The following is a 19288-nucleotide window of genomic DNA, read 5'->3' as shown; positions in this document are numbered from 1 at the left end:
GAAGGATTAAATGTATGTAAAGCACAGTGTTTGCCCATAGGAAGCTGTTATTTATAAGGGAGGGGAGCATCCTAAGGTCCTCCGAATTTAGGAGAACTAAAAATCTTACACTGACTTCTCCCTTCAACAGCACCTTCAGAATCTCCTTCATTTTTCATACTGTTCTTTCAACCCTTTGATGAATGAGAAATTAGGCATTCTTTCCCTGCAGATTTTCCCAAACCTTCTGCTTTGGCCAATAAACATATTTTTAGTCCCAATCTTGCATGCTCCTTTGGGACTTTTCATCTGATAAACATCCCCTCCTGTGCTCTTGAATCCAATACCCTTCTTCCCTGCCCTCCACCCAGAGTCTCCTTGTATCTGCTGTTAGGCACAATGATGACCCCACCAAGGTCAGACAATGGCTGTGGCCTCACCTGGACCTTGATGACCCACATAGCCTAGAGCCCAGGGATCAGCCACTGATGGAGGCCCAGAGGGCAGTTGGAAAACTTCACAAGACAATCCAGCCTGATTGTTTTGACATGCCTGACTTCAGGCTGCTAAAAATGAGCTCGAGGAATCAGATAGGAAAAAGAGATAGGTGATGCAATTTTATTCCATCTCCCAATTTTCTGAGTCAAGAGTTGTTTGTTTAACTCCAGTTAAATTAGTATTTATCCAAATTTCCTGGGTGCTTGTCCAAAGAAAAGTACCCCAGATCTACAAATTAGAATCTGGGACTGGGACTTAGGAATTGGCACTTTTACAATTATACCAGATGTTTCTAATATGGGTACTTCAACCACTACCCTTATAGAAGTGCTGCCTAGGACCCTCTCTTCTGGCAGGTGAAGTGGAAGGAGGTTTTGTCGAAGGGAGATTCTCCACTTCAACTTGAGTGTCTCGGCTTGTATCCGCTTTGTTTGGTTCTATTTCACCAAAGGCTTTCATCTTCACATAAATTTTCTTCAGCTTTAAATAATTAGTTTTGGTAACCATTGGTATACTGGAAAGAACATTAGATTTGGAGTCCAGGTGGCTTGAGTTCAATTCTCTGCTCTGCCATTTACCAGCTGTGTGACATTGGGCAAGTTGCCAACCTATCTATGTCATTTCCTCATGTAAAGATAATCCCACTTCACCAGGCCACTTTTGAGGACCCAGTGAAATGATGTGTAACCATTTTAGGAACACTGGATCATTCTACAGTGCAATTTTTTACATCAGCTTGGAGCCTACCATGTAGGCATTCAAATCCACTGAGTGTATGGAGCTCCGTGCACAAATAAAAGGACTTCTCTTTTCTGCCCGTGTACAACTTTGGTTTCCTTAATCAATAGAATCCATGACAATCCTGGGCCATGGTATAAAGATGGGACTTTCTTCCTGTGAAGGAGTCTGGTCTGAACATCTTCCAAACTCCAACATAACTGATGTCATTTCTCCACCCAACCCCATTTGCTGTCTCCTGACTCAATTGCTAGAGAAGCCACTTAAGGAAGGTTCCTGGAGTTAAGGCTGTGTCTGGGCCAGTGTAGCGAGCAGTTTTCAACAGTCAGTCCTCTTTATCTTCTCTTTTCCTGCGAGCCTTTACTAAGCACTGCCTCCTCCTGTCTCCTTACTGCATCTCCTGATGGAATGCACAGGTAAATCTCCTTGGAGAGTACCAGCCAGGAACAGTCCACAGCCAAGGCCACCGATCCTCACCGCTGAGCTCCATCTTTCCTTTCAAGCTGTCCTTCCCCTCCCCTCCCCACCATCACCATAGCAACACAGTGGTATAAAAAAATGAAAGCGCTAAGGCATCTAAATATAGTCTGAGTATCAACTCTTCCAGCATGGAGCCGAAAACCTAGGGAATGACAGCTAGAGGCATCCAGACGATAACTGGCAGCCAGGAGGGTGGATAAGTCAAAGGAAGGGGTCAAGGAAAGAGGGGAAGGAAAGGGAACCATCACTTGCTGAGCCTGCTGCCTGTGCTTTCTCATGTCACCCGCACGACAACCCAATGTGAATGTTATCATCTCCAGGTAACTGCTGAAGAAACGGAAGCTCAAAGAGGTAAGAGATTTGGCCAAGGTCACACAGCTATAAGCAGTAGAACTAAGATTTTAACTCAAGTTTCTATGGCCCCAGAGTTTATGTGTTTCTCTCTCCATACCACAGGGACAGGTGCAAGTGAGAGATTTTGCTGGAAGCACTGGGCTTTTTGAGCAGGCCATATAAAAATTCTGAGCCCAGAGCTCAACTAAATTATTGGAAGAGACTGGGCCAAATATAAGGCTTCTATCTAAGCAGCACCTGTGTTTCTCAAGGACTGAGGAAAATGAAGGGGGAGGGTTGGCAAGGCTGCATTTCCCAGGGTGCGTGATTATATGGCATGGGGGTGGGGGCCATTATGATGCCCGGACATGGAACTTACACCAGTGCAGAAAGGGTGTGATTAGAAGCCCTAAGCCAGAGAATGTTCAGTGTGATAAATGCCATTATTTTTTCCCTCATTCATTCAATAGATTTTTTTTTTAGATGGAGTCTCACTCTGTCGCCCAGGCTGGAGTGCAGTGGCACCATCTCAGCTCACGGTAACCTCTGCCTCCTGGGTTCAAGCAATTCTTGTGGTCCAGCTTCCTGAGTAGCTGGGATTACAGATGTGCACCACCACGCCTGGCTGATTTTTTTTTTTTTTTTTTTTTTTGTATTTTTTAGTAGAGACAGGGTTTCACCATGTTGGCCAGGCTGGTCTCGAACTCCTGACCCCAAGTGATCCACCCACCTCCACATCCCAAAGTGCTGTGGTTACAGGTGTGAGCTACCGTGCCTAGCCTCATTCAACAGATATTTTTATTAAGCATCTGATGTGTGCTTAACTCTGGAAATATAGGGGTGATTAGAACAAATGCAGCTCCTGCCCTTGTAGAGCTTATTAGGATAGTGGAGAAGACAAATAAGGAAACAATTATACAATTGATTGATTCTTTACAACTGTAACATGTACTATAAGTACATAACAGAAGAATATCACTTGCCTGATGACTTCAGTGAAAGGGAAATACAGAAGTTCTTACAAATCAAAGCAATCCCCTGGGCCAATTGTAAAGGTGATGCCCACTTTCAAGGTGGACAGAGACTGTGCTAGAAGCTTAGCCTCAACCATGGGTTTATATGATTGGTAGACCCTGCAGATCCATTCCCAATGGTGTATCTTCATACTAATCATGAAATCCATCTAATAGCCATACAAGTGAGGTTTTAAAACCCAACAAACTAGACTCAAATGAAATCTGATGAGGGAATTTATGATTTGTTCTTCCTACAGCCTTTGGTATCACTGACATAAAACTGAATGTATGTGCTGAGGGTGCTTGTGTCTTGGTGATAGACAAGGTAGGTGGTCCAGCCCATGGTACTGGCAGCTTAAAGTCAGCCAGCCATCAGTGGGAAGTGCCTGTGAATTATGCAGGAGTGGGAGGGGAGGGAGTAGGCAGTAAAGTAATGCATTTCTGTGGATCCAAAGCTTTCCAAACTACCTGCAAGTCAGCAAATATGGGGGATGTTGTATGACTAAGTGAGAATCAGATAATATAATGTGTATGGAGCTCTTTAGTTCTTCAGAAAAAAATGCTGTCTAAACAAATAGTGCTGATATCAAAGATAATGATACAGTACCCTAATTTTAATGCTCTGCTACCTACCTGCCAGCTGTTTCCCAGGGATGTGGTAAAGATGAATGGGCAAGATCTGGGAAAGTGTTTTGAAATCCTTGATTAAAGGCCCTCCAGGCAGATGTAGAATTTTAAATGTGTTATATTACTGCCACTATTGTTATGCTTTCTTTTATCACCCCAGAATTTCACCATCTCCTGTTTCAGGTGAACGAGTCTGCCTGACTCTTACCTGCCCTGAATGGCATTGGAAAGGTAGCAGCCCTGAGATGTGCCATATAAACAAACATGTTTTTAACCAAGGGATCAGGAGGCCTTCCTGGCTGGCTCCTGTCAGCTGGTCATCACCTCTCTATAACTCTAGGCTTTCCCAAGCTTATTTTATTTCCATCAATAGGACAGGAATATGTAAATGTCCTGCTTGAAATGAGTATTGGCTACAAGCCATCTGCCTCTGAACAGAGGTGAAAAGTGGAAATCGGAGGAAGGGCAGATGTCTTTTGCAAGGGAAACAGACTGTTTTCTGCCACTGCACTCTGCCCAGGCAAAAGAGTAAAGGAACAGCACTCAGGAGAATTCACTGAAGCGAGGGCAGAGTGCAAAAGGAACTTGAGAAATTGGTACTGGGACCCAAAATCAGATTCTGGCATTTCTGGGAAAAGAAATGGGCATGGGTGGGGGTTTTATCTGTCAATAAAAGCATCCAGAATGGGGCTAGAAGGAAGTAAATTCAGTTGCCACCTCTGCCTACTGGACAGCCACGGAGAACTTCTCCTTATCCAAGGTCGAGGAGCCCTCCGGAGTACATACTGATACCATTGGTTCTCCCACACATACCCCCATGGAGATAAAAACAGGACCCTGGAAGCCCTGTCCGTGTTTAACCAATGGGATTGAAACATGGAAATGAACTGCCCCACAATCCACCCTGTGAGAGACCAAAGAGCAGTGTTGGATTAACAGGGAATGTTACCCTGAAAAGGCATTCAGCTTCCACTGGGGCAGCAGGTACAGTGCAAAGATGATCCCACTTAAATTCCTAAGACAGGAAATAAGGAAAGATGTTGTGGAAACTCAAGACCTCTCAAAGCATACTCCTTTGTAGTTCTTCCGCAGACCAGACCACGGAATTCAGAAAACACCCTACCTGGTTCCAAACCAGCACCTGCCAAACTTCTCACCCTCTTCTGACCCTGTCCTGGGAGTTAAGAAAAAAAAAATCACTTTATTGGTTGCTCCAGTTATAACTTAAACAGACAGACCATCATCAAATTAAGTGACATGTACGACTGCTTATTGTATGCCAGTTACTGTGCTGTGGGGTTTTGGTTCCATTATCTCATTTAATCCTCTCAAAAACCCTGTTAGGTAGGTTTTATTATTGCACTCATCTTAGATTAAGGAAACTGAGGCTCATAGAGATTCGGTAATTTGTCAAAAGCCCTAAAACATAATTACTGCCTCCAGACGTCTCTGATTCTAAGGCCCAGGCTCTTAATCAGTAAATGATCAAATGAATAATGATTTTCATGGCATCTGTCATCGGAAAGAACAATGGAGAATATGCTTAACCAAAGTCATAACCAAATAAATGAACTTGACAGCAGAGCCGTGATTCTAGCCAAGATGACTATTTTCATGCATGTTTTGAAGGCCAGGAAAAGGAGGTTAGACTTGTTTGGGAAGGGAAACAGGAGCTATCAAGGTGAACTTTTCCTAAGAGTAGCCCAATAATAGTGCTCGGGAGGGAGTAATGTGTGCAAGAATAGAGTCAGGGAGACCAGCCAAGTGTGTGCCTCAGCATCCCTAGCACAAATCACACACTAAGCATTAAGATTGTCTCTGCAGTGAGAAAGGCCTGGGACCAAATTTGGGCTCCACCACTTACTGGTATTCATTAATCATTCATGCATTCATTCAACAAATATATATTGCGTGTGGTCTATGTGCCAGAGACTGTGCTGGGTGCTGGCAAAGAACACAGACAAGGTTCCTGCTCTCATGGAGCTTTTATTCTGATGAAGGAAACAGACCACTTACAGATAAATAAATAAACAAGATAAAGGGAAACAGATATGATGGAGAGTAGCTGGAGGGCCAAGCAGACCGGGCAGACAAGGTGGTGGCATGTAAGCTAAGACATTTAAAAAGAACCTGGTCATGAGACTATCTGGAGAAGGAAAGCTCCAGGCAGAGGAAGCAGGTAGTGCAGAGGCCCTGAGGCAGGAATGAGGACAAGATATTTGAGAAAACAGAACAAAGGCAGGCATGACCAGGCCGAGTGGGTGGTGGAAAAGTAGTAGAAGGTGAGTGGGGGAGTGGGGGCATCAAGGTCAGGCTTTGCAGGCTTGATCAGCGTTCTCACTGTGGTTCTGGAGCCAGCAGCATCAATGTTACCTGGGAACTTGTTAGGAATGCAAATTCTCAGGCCCCACCCAGACCTGCTGAGTCACAAACTCTGGGATGGGGCACCTCATTGTGTTTTATCGAGCCCTCCAGATGATTCCGAGTATGCTAAAGTTTCAGAATTCCTAGGTTGGATTATGCAGTTCAATTTTAATTTTAAATGCAATGGGAACCTATGAAAGATTTAAGTAGGGGAGCAGCATGTTATAATTTTCTTTAAAAAATTGTTTTTAAGCACTCCTGCTGAGGAGAGAATGGACCATAACAGGCTAAGAGAAATGGAAGCAGGGAGATAAATTAGGTGGTTATTGCAAGAGGCCAGGTAAGAAGAGAAAGTGGTTTAAGTAGGGTGGTGTGGCAGAGAAGACGGTTCCAAGCAGAGGGGGACCACGCTGACAAATAAGCGCGGGCCACTCACGCAAGCCCAACAAGGCAGAAGGCAGAAGGCAAAAGTGAAGGCCAGAGAAAACTGGACACCACCTTTCCAGAGCACAGTTCAAAGGCAATGTCCTCAAAGAAGACACTCCACCCTCCTCCCATTTCCTCCCTATTGCCTAAAAATAAGAAGGATACGCGGCCTATGGCAAACCTTGGGCAGGCACGTGGGAGCTGAGCTCTTGCAAAGGGCAGATAGTTCCTCTGGTGAGAGAGAAAAGGAAGGGCCAGTGAGGAGTGAAGGAAGAGACGAACAGAGAGCCCGAAAGGCTGAGAACGTTGTCTGGCTTCCTGAAAGGCTTAAGGGGTTAGCTCTGGAGGGTGAACTAAAAGCCCTAGTTATATTAAACACACACGCACACACGCACGCACACACATGCGCGCACACACACACACACATACACACAGTTGAAGGAGACCTGCAGTTTCCAAAAACAAGAGTTGTATTTTTTTTGTTCATATCATGACCCATAACAATCTCAAAAGAGAAACAATCTCTTGTCTTCCTTGTTTAGGCTTAGGAGAACCTGTAGTAAGTAAGCAGCAGCAGCGGAACTCAAACTCGACTCTTCCTACTGTCATTCTCTCTATTACACCACAAGGCATCAGAGGACCACTAGAGTCGCCTCCCTAGGGTTAGGGTTAGGGCAAGGTAAATGAAGTGAGTCAGCAAGGGCAGGATAGGAACCTGTCTTTATTAACATTTTGATATTTTGTTTATCATGGATTTGTTGCATTAATTGCAACTTTTAAAAATCATTGCATTAAAATATTATTGATCTTGATTACTGAGTTTTTAGGTGTACCCTTAAATGTTGCACCTCTGACTTACTAGTCTCACCCTGATCCCTGTCCTGGATCTATGCCTGTCTGTTCTATATCAGCCTCTTGCTTTGACCATAAGAATAACTTCAGACCTTTAAGCATAGAGGAAATAGGATTTCTGTCTCCCTTCCCCACCTTTGTGATAATCTCAGCTTCTGCTTTTAAAGTCTATCTCCCAAGTAGTTTGCCTACTATGTTCCTCCCAAGGTCACTAGGTTCTGTGAAACTAGCAGCAGGCTAGATTGTCACATTAGCACAAAGGATCCACTATTCCTGCAGCCGAGCTGGGACAAGCACTTAGGCCCACTGACTCCAACCCTTCAATAGCCTGGGACCTACGTTGTCTCCAGGTGGTATAAAACAAGAATTTCCCCTTTGACTGGGAGAAAAAGGGAAGAACTCTAAATTGGAAAACAGGTCATCTCGAATTCTCACAGGTGGAAATTTCTGACAACCCCTTTGGGACCCACAATTCAACACACCCCAAATGGGGACAGTAGCTAACATGCAACCTGTAGGCTGTTCTGTCATCCAGTGCCACTGTGCTGCACACCACCAGGGGGCAGCATTCTCATTGGCTTCTATGTGCCTGGAGCCCAGTGCAGTTGTGCAACACTGCAGCTTTGCTTTAGTGTAGTCCCTGATGGGTTCAGTCAAGAAAATGTCTATAGAATCAGCTAATCTCCCATGCAGTTAAGTCTCTAATTGAAATATTTTCTCTGCTCAGCCCAGGGACAGCAATCTTTCCTGGATTTGCTATTTACAAGGATCTCTAGAAATTATCCACCAGAAATATGGGCTTTCTCAGAGCTTGAGTGGACAGGGAATTAAGGTGGAAGGCAGGGCGTTTTGACTGCATTTGACCCAAGTCCTGAAGAGCCAGCTCCTCTCTCTTCCTAATTATTAGAAGGTTTTGTTTGGACCCAGTGTTTCACGTGTATACAATACAAACTTCTCTCTTTTCTACTTGGATCAAATTTGTTCTCTCAAAATAAGATTCCCAGCAGTGAGAGAAGACAAGACAGAGAGATCCAACATCTCTAAAGCCATGAATCAGATAACCAGCCACTTGTTCTCTTCAGTGCTGGGAACAGATACACTGTTAAATAAAATGATTTTATAGATTCTTCTCACTGCCTTTCCAAGAAGGGGATTTATCAACTTCAGGGCACAGCAATCATTTATTCCCAGACTACTGGCATGCATATATATATATATTTACTTCTCTTGACTTAGAAAAAAGAGAGAATTGGAGTTGTGAATATTCCTGTCTCCCTCACCCCAGCCCCCTTGAAGTGAGTCAGGACAAACTTGGGGCCCAAATGGAGCTGTAAGTAACTGAGTCACATGCAGAGATGAAACCTTCACAGACCCACTGATATGGAGGTTGAAGATTAAATTCCCCTTTGAGAATAACTGGGTAACACTCATACAGAGACTACTTTCAAGAAGGCCAGATCCTCCCTCTAATGTATAGTGCAACGTTCCTAACCCTCAGCCCACTCCGTCATACCCCCACTCACATGAATACACACATAAGCAGTAATATAAAGCACTTCCCACCATAGGGCAGCAAAGAAGGAGGGAAATCTTTATTATGGAAGAGTGGAAGGAAGGAAGGGAAGGGAAGGGAAGGGAAGGGTAAGAGGAAGAATTCTCAGGGTGAGCAGAGGAATGACATGTTTGGGGCATAATGAAGATAATTGAAGTGCAGAGTTTGTATGGAAAAATTTGAAAATATCAGGTGGCAGGCCAGGCATGGTAGCTCATGCCTGTAATCCCAGCACTTTGGGAGGCCAAAGCAGGCGGATCACCTGAGGTCACGAGTTTGAGACTAGCCGGGCCAACATGGCAAAACCCCATCTCGACTAAAAATACAAAAATTAGCTGGGTTTAGTGGCGCATGCCTGTAATCCCAGCTACTCGGGAGGCTGAGGCAGGAGAATCATTTGAGCCTGGGAGGCAAAGGTTGCAGTGAGTCGAGATCATGCTACTACACTTCAGCCTGGGTGAGAGAGCTTTCTTTTTTTTCTCTCACAAAAAAAGAAAAGTTCAGGTTGCAGAGATGGATGGATGGATGGATGGATGGATGGATGGATGGACGGATAGATAGACATTACAGAGAGTTTCCAATTCTTAGGATGAATTGGAATCCTTAAGTCTTTATTCTGTAAGAAAGGAAGGGGAGAATAAAATTTTGTGATTTTAAAATATTTTCTACCCTGTAGAGCTACCCTACAAGGCATGAAAACCTTAAAAAAAAAGGCATCTACTTTAAAAGAATAATGTCTAAAAAATTAGAAATTCCCTCTTTTTGCCCTGACCTTTGGGAAACAGAGTGAGTGATCCTTTTGAGGTTTTTGGCACTGCCTTGCCTGTGATCATATCCTGAACCCTAGGTCCATAATCATGCAGTTACCTCAGATGTCCCTTTCCCTCTAGCCACAGGTAACACGCTCTCCAGGCACTGGGAAAGTGGGTAATTAGGAAAGCAGAGGAGTACCCATGGGCTGTGATGCCCAGTTATAAACCCAGACATTTCAGAATTAACAGAATGAGCATCAAGTCCTCAAATGGGTCTACATCCATAAACATGTCCAGCAGTCAGCTCTTTACTGTCAGTAGAGACAAAATGTTCCTACACTTTCCCTAGGGGAAGCCACATCCTCAGTAGGTTATCTCTGATGAGTCCAGCTAGTCACAGGTATGTAGAAGCTGCATGCAGCAGAGGGCTCAAAGGAGGGTCCAGAATAGATACCAAAGCAAAAGGGGAGTCTGTGCACGTTCTCACACGCACCCCGAAACACTCTTTTTGTTCACAAAATAGATGGTGTAGGGTAGTTCCAAGAGATCATTTAGCTCAGGTTCCTGCCTCCATAAAATAAATAAGCCTTCCATATTAGTTGTCTGTTGCTGTGTAGCAAATTGTCAGAAACGTAGAGGCTTAAAGCAATACCCATTTATTATCTCGCAAGTTCTGTATCTCAGAAGTCCAGGCAGGCTTGACTGGGTTCTCTGTCCAAGTTCTCGTGAGACTGAAATCAAGGTGTTGGCCAGGCTGGGATCTTATCTGGAGGCTCTGAGGACATATACGCTTCCAACCTTATTCAGGCCATCAGCAGAATCCCGTCTCTTGTGGCTTGAGGTTGGAGGTCCCCGTTTCCTTGCTGGCTGTCATCCAGGGACCACTCTTTGCACCTACAGGCTGCCTATGTTCCTATTCACAAGACACCGTTCATCTTCAAACCAAAGCAGCATGTAGAATCTTTCTTGTGGCTCGTATCTTTCTGGCTTTCCCTTCTTCTTTAGCCAGAGAAAGTTCTTTGCTTTTAAGCGTTCATGCGATTCAATCAGGCCCACCTGGATAATGTCCCTATTTTAAAGGTAACTGTGATACCGTATAACATTTCAGGAGTGATAACAGCACATTTACAGGTTCCAAGGATTGGGGCAGAACATCTTTGGGGGAACATTTTAGAAACTCTGCCTCCCCACTCACCCATAATCCTTTTAAAAACCAAATCTTGAAGCCTTTTTTTCCCAAAGGCCTTTTTGAATAAGCACATTTATACCTAACTTCATCAGACACCCACTTTGAGCAAACACTAGCATGTGGCAAAATAGGCTGTAAATCAATCAGAACTATTCTTTCCCACCACAATCTTTCTCAAACACATTGGGAGAATCTGACACTGTCAGTGGTATACCAGAGCAGACTCCTACCATCTCACAAGAGCTGACTGTTAAATGTTTAGTAATTGTGGACATTGGTTGTTAAACTATTAGTAGCCTGAAATTGACTATAGTGAGAGTATTTTCACCATGGAAAGCAACCGTTCCAAATCAGGGTTTCTCTTTATTCCTGGGAAGCTGGTTTATTAGCTCACCACTGGCTGTAGTCCTTTAGGGGTCATTACTTGACCTCCTGTAGCATGCAGGAATCCTCTCCATGGCCTTTTTTATGCATGGACATCATCCTATTTTTTAATACCAGGAATGGGGTGATCACTCTCTTATAAGCTAGTTCATCTCCCTGATGGAATGGTATGTGGTAGAGTTGAAACCCACCTCCCTGGAACTTCCCACCAACTTCCTTTGGAAGCAGCACTTGTGACAGCCCCAGAACCATTTGGAGTAAGTAGCATTTCCTCCAGGAGACATCTCTCCTCTGGATCCACAAATCAATAGTTAGATGCAAAATCTTTAGAGCCACACTGTTTGAATTCAATTCCCAGCTCTGCCACTTATTTAGTTATAACCTTAGGCAAGTCTCTTAACTTTTCTGGTCCTCTGGTTCTTCATGTGTGGGAATGGGGATAAAAATAGCACCTACCTCATAGGTTATTATGAATATTAAATGAGATAATGTGTGCAGAGAAAATAGCACCTGGTCTGGCCTCTACCTATCTAACAGGTTAGTTGTGAGGATTAAATTACTTAATATAAGCAAAATGCTTAGAGCTCTGCCTAGCACAAAATAAGCACTATGTAACTATTGGTAAGTTAATTTGAAATGTGGTTTCTAGATCTCTCATCATCCTAGTCACCCTACTCTGGATGTACTCCAAAGTCCCTCTCAAGATATAGTGTCAGAATTGACCTAATTAGTCCAGCATTTGACTGAAACGCTAGACTTTGACTCCAGCCCCCCATCCTTGACTGGCACTAGCATTCAAGCCGCTTCTCCTCTTTCCCTGGGTCTTTAATAGAGTCAGAGCGACTTCTCCAGGGGATCTTTTGGCCATGGACCAGTAGCATCCACACACGCTGGGGCCTTGTTAAAAAGGCAGGCTCTCAGGCCCCACCCCAGATCTACTGAATCAGAATCCACACATTAACAAGATGCTTGGGTGATTCATGTGCACATTAAAGTTTGAGAAGCACCGCTTTCAGGGACGAGATGACACACTTATTTTAAAGAGAACGCCAATTAGAGACCCTAAGCCTTCTCATGGAACAGGGGCCTTCCCCTCAGACCTTGGGAGAGGGGTCAGGGAAATATCAGTGTTGGGTTGTTGGTGACAGGTGGCGGTGGGGGGTTCAGTCCACGTTCAAAGAGCCAGAAACCTGGCAGGGGAAGAGATGGGGCAGTGACACCCAACCGGAAAAATAAAGGAAACTACAAGAAGAACCCAGCTAAGAGATGTGAGGCTTCTGAAAGCTCCCATGGAAAGGTTCGCAGCTCCTCCACCTGCTCGGTCCAGCTGCCCCAGGTCAAGGAAGCTCTGTGAGTGTTAGCTGACCCGGAGCAGCAAGGATACATTCAGAAGTGATGAAAGGGAACGCTTCTTGACAGGGTAAAGAGTCATTCAGTAGGAATGAGACAGGAAGAGGTCACAGAGTCAGAAGCCCAGCCTGTACTCAGAGATTATTTCTGGCATGGGAGGGCCGAAGGGTTAGGAGGCCACCTACTCACAATACAATACAGAGGCAGATCCACTTATTACCTGCCTGTGCTGCTGGGATTTCAGTGTGGAAATTCTGTGCCTCCTCACTGTGGCTGCAGCTTGGGAATGACATCCAGAGCTTACCCACCTGCATAAGAAATAAGCTATAGGTGTAATAGGGGGACATAGGCTAAAATCCTAGCTCAGCTGCTTAATAGCTGTGCGACTGAGCAAGTTACTTAACCTCTTTGAGCATCTGTTTTCTCATCTTTAAAATGGAAGTAATCATAATTGACCAGGCCCAGTGGCTCACACCTATAATCCCAGCACCTTGGAAGGCCGAGGCCAGTGGATTGCTTGAGCCCAAGAGTTTGAGACCAGCATGGTGACACCTCGTCTCTAGAAAAAATACAAAAATTAGCCAGGCATGGTGGCAGGTGCCTGTAGTCTTAGCTACTCGGTAGGCTGAGGTGGGAAGATTATATGAGCCCGGGAGGTTGAGGCTGTGGTGAGCCAGATTGTGCCACTGCAATCTAGCCTGGAGACAGAGTGAGACTGTGTCTCAAAAATAAATAAATAAAATAATAATATCTATGTTAATAAAGCAGAAATAAGAATGAAATAAGAGGCCTGACATGGTGACTTATGCCTGTAATCCCAGCACTTTGGGAGGTCAAGGTGAGAGGATCACTTGAGCCCAGGAGTTCAAGATCAGCCTGGGCAACTTAGTGAGGTCCCATCTCTACCAATAATAATTTTTTAAAAATTAGCTGGGCATGGTGGCATGCACCCGTGGCCCCAGCTACTCAAGAGGCTGAGGCAGGAGGACGGCCTGAGCACAGGAGTTGAGGCTGCAGTGAGTCATGATCACACCACTGCACTCCGGCCTGGGTGACAGAGTGAGACCCTGTCTCAATAAATAAATAAGAAGAATGAAACAAGAAAGTTCTTCTTATGGTTCTCATGGTGGTGAGCACAATGTAAGCATATATATTATCTTAGAATTCTTCCTTCCTGTATAAAGAAGGCCTCCTCCAATGTATTAATCATCTGTTCAACTAATAAATGCTGCTTACTCCCACTTTCACTCTAAAGGAACTCAATGGCTAAAGAGAACCCTTCCCCTTTGCAGCACCCTGAGGATCAGAGGCCTGATTTGAATGTCCTCGATGCAAAGGACTATTTCAAAAGGCCAGCCAGGCAGCCCAGACATGTATTTCCTAATCGTCTCCAGGTTGTTTGATAGAAGATCTCCTGGGAGCAGGTTTCCGCAGCAGCTCAGCCAGGTCTGTTCTGGGAACGCTGTGTGCATTGGCACCTCCCTTGGCAGAAAGCTTGGAGGAAAGGCAGGTGCAGGTCCTGGAGCCTCTGACAGCATTACTGGCTCTAGGAGTAGCTGCTCAGGATAATCTGTCCCCATGACCATTAAGTAACTGCCACTGTGCGGGAAGAAGAACTGGAAATGGGGGGCCCAAAAAAATCTGAAAACCCTCACTTGAACCAGTAAGTTATACCCTGGGTTGCTGTTGGAGAGAGCTTCCTTGGAGTAGACAAATGTGGTATGTTAAGTAAACTGGGGATCTAGGTTTGATGATACTGGGTCTGCAGCTTCTTTGTCCCACTGAAAATCCTCGGGCATTCCATGAAAGTAGCCTTCAAAATATTTTTGTCTCTAATGACATATTTTTGCTGCAAAAAGATGAGTGGATTCATTTTACGAAGTCTCAAGTGTGTTAGAAATTCACCATGAGTCACTCAGCAAGTTATGTTTGAGGGCGTTCTGTATGCCAGGCACTGTGCTGGGCACTGGGACTACTGTAGCAAGTCAGATAGACAAGAACTTGCTTGATCTTGGAAGTAAGCAGGGTGGGGTCTGGTTAGTCCTTGAATTGGAGACTGCCTGGAGATACTGGATGCTGCAAGCTTTTGAAAAAAGACAAGTTCTCTGTACTTGCAGAGCTTACATCCAGTAACTAACTAACTAACTTCAGGCTGTGTTGAGTGACTGAAAGTGGTGGAGCCAGGAGTCCTCTAGATAAGGTAGCCATGGAAGGCCTCTCCGAAGAGGTGATAAGTTTACTCAGAGACGCAAACGATCAGGATAAGCACAGACCCCGGTGAAGAGCGTCCCAGGCAGAGGGGATAGCAAGGGGATTGCCCTTAGGTGGGAAAGGGCTTGATTTGAGGACTGGGAAGACCAGTGTGTCTAGGACACATAAGCAAGGGGAGGACGTTATGAACGAGGTCTGAGGGGTCAGCAGCGACTGGATCATGCAAGCTCCCATAGGCCATGGTAAGGGCTCTGTGTGTACTACAATTACAGGATGCATGATAGGACCTGGGCTGCATTTTTAATAGTTAACCCTGGCTATAATGTGGGGAAGGGATTGAAGAAAGAGGGCAAAGGCAGGAACAGGAAAATCTCTTAGGAGGCTACTGCAAAGCCCAAGGGAGAGGTGATGGTGTTTTGTTGTTGTTGTTGTTTGTTTTGTTTTGCTTTGAGAAGGAGTCTCACTCTGTCGCCCAGGCTGGAGTGCAATGGCACAATCTCGGCTCACTGCAACCTCCGCCTCTTGGGTTCAAGCAATTCTCCTGCCTCAGTCTCCCAAGTAGCTGGGATTACAGGCATGCACCACCATGGCTGGCTAATTTTTGTATTTTTAGTAGAGACAGAGTTTCCCCATGTTGGTCAGGCTGGTCTTGAGCTCCTGACCTCAAGCGATCCACCCGCCTCGGCCTTCCAAAGCACTGGGATTACAGGTGTGAGGCACCGCGCTGGCCAAATGATGGTGTTTTGATCTGGGTCTTAAAGGCAGAAGGAAGGGGGGTAGTAAATTAACTGTGCTGGGGAAGAGAGGGAGGCCTGAGAGTGAGGAAAGAATGAGGGGTGATTCCAGGTTTAGGAAAACTGGGCAATTTGTTAGATGATGGTGCCATTGACAGAAATGGGAAAGAACAAGTTTGGAAAGAAAACTCAAGATCTGGCTGGTGACTTGTATTAAACTTAAAGCCTCATTTGTGACTTGAGCAGAAGTAAGGACTTTCTCCAGTGTTCAAGAGCTGGAAGGGATTTTTCTAGCCTCCAGGCAAGGTAATACCATAAGTCCCAACAGTGATGCCCTCCCTGGGAATGATCTCAATGGGAGAATCCTATACCCTGCCTCCTCCATTCATTCCTTGCTCTGATGGTGGTTCTGGCTGGCTAACCTAAGTTACTCTTGCCACTAGTTAACGCCTGTCCTTATTTCTCTTGTCCCCACCTAAGATGTCAATCAAAACAGCACGAGCCATGCTATGTCACATGACATGTTGTCTGTCCAGCCCAGAGCTTGTTGCTGATGGGGGCACAGACTAGATTTTGAGAGAAATCTCTCTGTTACCACCCTTAACATTCCAACCCCCTCTAATAGCCCATTTAGGATTTATCATACTGTTTCATCCAAACCTTTCATGACCTGATTTCTATTTCCAGCTTCAACCACCCCTTGGGTCACCACCTGTACTTATTGAGTTTCCCTAGTTTTCTGAATTAATGACTGAAGATGATAAGCTTCCCTTACATATGACTCTCAAACCACCAAACTGGGATTGTTGTTACTCTTAGTGATAATGGTTGCTATTTATGAAACTTTTAATAGGGAACACAAACCCTGCCCAGAAATTCATATAAATTATTTCATTTAAGAACATCACAAAGTAGGTGCTATTATTTGACCTTACACGTGAGACTTGAAGAACTTTAGAGCATTGCCCAAGGTCACCCAGCTAGTGAGGGGTGGAGGCGGGATTTGAATCCAGCTCATCTGTCTCCATTACCTGGAAGAAGGAAGGCCAGAGCATCATGGCCTTTCACAAGTTGAAGAGCCACGGGCTTTCTACGGTAGCCAGCCACGCTTTTCCATGACTGGGGTGGGTGTGGCAAGTGATGAGGGTTTGGAGTTCATGTGGTGGGGTGGCAGGGACCAGGTGTCTTGGTAACTGCTGTTGCATTCACTTCAGGAGCAAAGGACCAGATCTGATTCTGCAGGATCAACAATATGGACACTGCAGGCTCTGTAGACATCCAAAGCTCTAATGGTGACTTGGGGAAGCTCAGGAGGGCAGGGAGGTTGTACCCATTTAGAATGTAAAGATTCCTATTTTATAAAAAAGAAAAAAAGGAGACTGAAGGCCTCAGTCTCCTCCAACAAAGCCAGGCTGTGGGGTAGCAGAGTCTCAAAGGGTGCAGGCCCATGGCCACTGCCCAGGGCTCCTGCTCAGGCCTCCTCACTCCCACAACTGAGGGGAGACCCAGTTCCACACCCACCCACCTAGCAGTGTCTCACACCCACCGGGAGAGGTCTAAACATCTTCCCTGGGAAATGGTCCCAAAATGTCCCTGCAGTAAGCAACCATCTGGAGAGGCCCAGGTCTACATCTGTTTTTAAAGCTCCAATAAATAAATAAATGAAGGAAGAAAAAAAGAAGAAGAAATGCAGAACAGGGTGACTAAAATTGGCATGTATTTTTAAATGTTTATATTAACAAACTAACACCTTTTAACATGAAAAGCAATATAATTGTGCTAGCCACAAAATCATCGTAGGACTGAGAAAGGAATCGTGATTCTGAGAGCCCTAGAGTTAATGTGATCCAGCTGGCTCATCCCTGTGACTGCAGAAGCCTGTTTGGAGATAGTGTCAGTAGCTTTTCAGGCCCTCTGTGAATTGCCAGAATGTGTGACATGAGCCAAATTTCCCCCCAGCATCCCCGCCGCCGCCACCACCACCCCCGACCCAACCCTCCCGCCGGCTCCCATAGAATAGTCACTGCCATACAGAAAAAGAGAAGTTCTACTATTTCTGGGCAAGATTTCCACAAACCAGTTTGTCCCTTTCTGCTTTCATGAAATAAACCATTTGGATCAACGTCAGCTGATTGCAAAAATTTTCCCTTGTCTCAAAAGCAAGACTGATAAGGAAGCAAACATGGGAGGACCTTAGTGGCCGAGCCTTTATGTGTATGTTATTTCATTGCTCTCATAACTGCCCTGGGATGCTGTAAGCATGATTCATCCTGTTTGTTTATCAGTTAAATTATGTATCCAAGATTACACAGCCTATCCAGGATTAGAACTCAGAGCCCTCGGCTGTGAAGCTTGAGCTCTTTCTTTTCAGTCTTCAAATATGATCATGCCATGAAGCAGCACAAAGCCCAGGAGGAGCCCAGTGAGGCTGGAGGGGTCCACTGGCAGCCACTCTCCTCCGTGCCCCTGTGGTGTTGGGGCAAACTTGGATCTTTCTGAATCTTTTAACTGTTTCCTTCTCTTCCCGTTTTTGTCTGCTGGCTGACTTGTCCTACACTCTACTCCTTGCTTATGATACTTATTTTTCCATCCACAGCAAAACAATTCACATCAAGGTAATTGATGATGAGGCATATGAGAAAAACAAGAATTACTTCATTGAGATGATGGGCCCCCGCATGGTGGATATGAGTTTTCAGAAAGGTGTAGTACCCTGTCCTCCACACTAACACTAACATTCTTCTCTCCTCTTCTGTTTCTTCCTCTCCAACCCATTTGTCTCCTCCTCCTCTTGTCTTCCACCTCTCTGGTTCCCTTTCCCTTGTCTCCTCTCTTGCTCTCTCTCCTGCTCTCTTTTCACTCCTCCCTCTCCTCTGTCCTCTCTCTGCCCCCAGCTCTGTCCTAACACCTGCCAGCCTGACACATGGCATCCATACGAGGGATGCTCAAGACCGATGGTAATTGTTCTGGGATAAGGAAATGAGTATGGGGAAAGAAAGAGCCAAAATGCTGGAGTATCATGTGCGGCTCTTGGCTTCTCCAGAATGGCTGGGCATAAAGGGGGGAAAAGGGACCACATAGCCCAGCACCAGACAGAAGAGCAGCACTGAGAAACAGGCTTTCAGCACAAATTTCCATGGGGCAGTTATTCTCAGGGCTAAACTTAGAGTCCCAGGAAGTTGAGAATCAATGTATTTGGATTACAGTTCATTCCCCTCCCAAAAGCAGGCTTTAGGAGCCACCTTATCTGCCATGTTGCTACTATCAAGACTTGTTTCTCCTCCTGACCTTGAGGAAGCTGAAAGTACAGGTTTGAGTTCCAGATCTAGGTCAAATATCCATTTGTCTTCCTATGTTTTTCCTATTAAGAACACCCAGGTGTGGAGGCAGAGAGTTAGAATAGTGGTGGAGATCATCCTGACCCAAATGGAAGCTTCCCCAAGAGGTCCATGGGGCTTCTCAGAGTGGATGGAATCTTTGCCTTCAACTTCAATGACCCCATACATCCCATGGCCTCCAATAGACAAGTCAAGAAGTCCTTTCCTGAATAGATCATACTGTGGAGCAGGGAGCTGCCAGTACTGAGGGCAATGTTCCTTCCCCTTCCAAGCTGTCCCTCATGCCCTCCAGTACATGCCTGTTGTCACAGAGCACCCCAATCCCATCCCACAGCAGAGTTCCTGCAGCAGAGAAACAGGCTCACACCTTGTAGACAGCCCTGGGGTCCCATATCTAGGGCCAACAGAAATATTCCCAAAAAAATGCCTCTTGACAATCAATGAGCTTTCTCTTTTGTCCGCTGA

The 19288-nt window shown here is 45.3% G+C and overlaps 1 protein-coding gene across 14 annotated transcripts in view, besides 1 other annotated feature; it reads left to right on the top strand.

Annotated features, from left to right (window-relative positions):
• SLC8A3 (solute carrier family 8 member A3) overlaps nt 1-19288 on the top strand; it is a 145191-nt gene that overhangs the window by 107395 nt on the left and 18508 nt on the right. For 3 of the 14 annotated variants that reach the window (NM_182936.3, NM_001130417.3, XM_006720240.4), the window contains exon 1: nt 1794-2046. The exons of 9 other annotated variants lie outside the window; for them this stretch is intronic. Coding sequence is in view for 2 of the 5 variants with exons in the window: in NM_033262.5 (NP_150287.1) it covers nt 18082-18188 (107 nt within the window). In the remaining 3 variants the exon portion in view is untranslated. Of the gene's footprint in view, nt 1-1793; nt 2047-17575; nt 18189-19288 lie in introns of those variants that run through there. 2 more of the 14 variants (NM_033262.5, XM_017021611.2) reach the window with 2 other exon arrangements.
• Nucleotides 7785-8079: a silencer, noted in NCBI's record as "tiled region #1623; HepG2 Repressive non-DNase unmatched - State 12:CtcfO". NCBI's record gives its function as "represses a minimal TATA promoter and a strong SV40 promoter by Sharpr-MPRA in HepG2 cells {active_cell/tissue: HepG2}" and the evidence as "EXISTENCE:reporter gene assay evidence [ECO:0000049][PMID:27701403]".

This window comes from Homo sapiens, chromosome 14 (assembly GCF_000001405.40).
Source record: "Homo sapiens chromosome 14, GRCh38.p14 Primary Assembly".
In the NCBI taxonomy this organism is placed as follows: Eukaryota; Metazoa; Chordata; class Mammalia; order Primates; family Hominidae; genus Homo; species Homo sapiens.
Note: the sequence above shows the minus strand (reverse complement) of the source record. Positions and strands in the feature narration are given on the sequence as shown.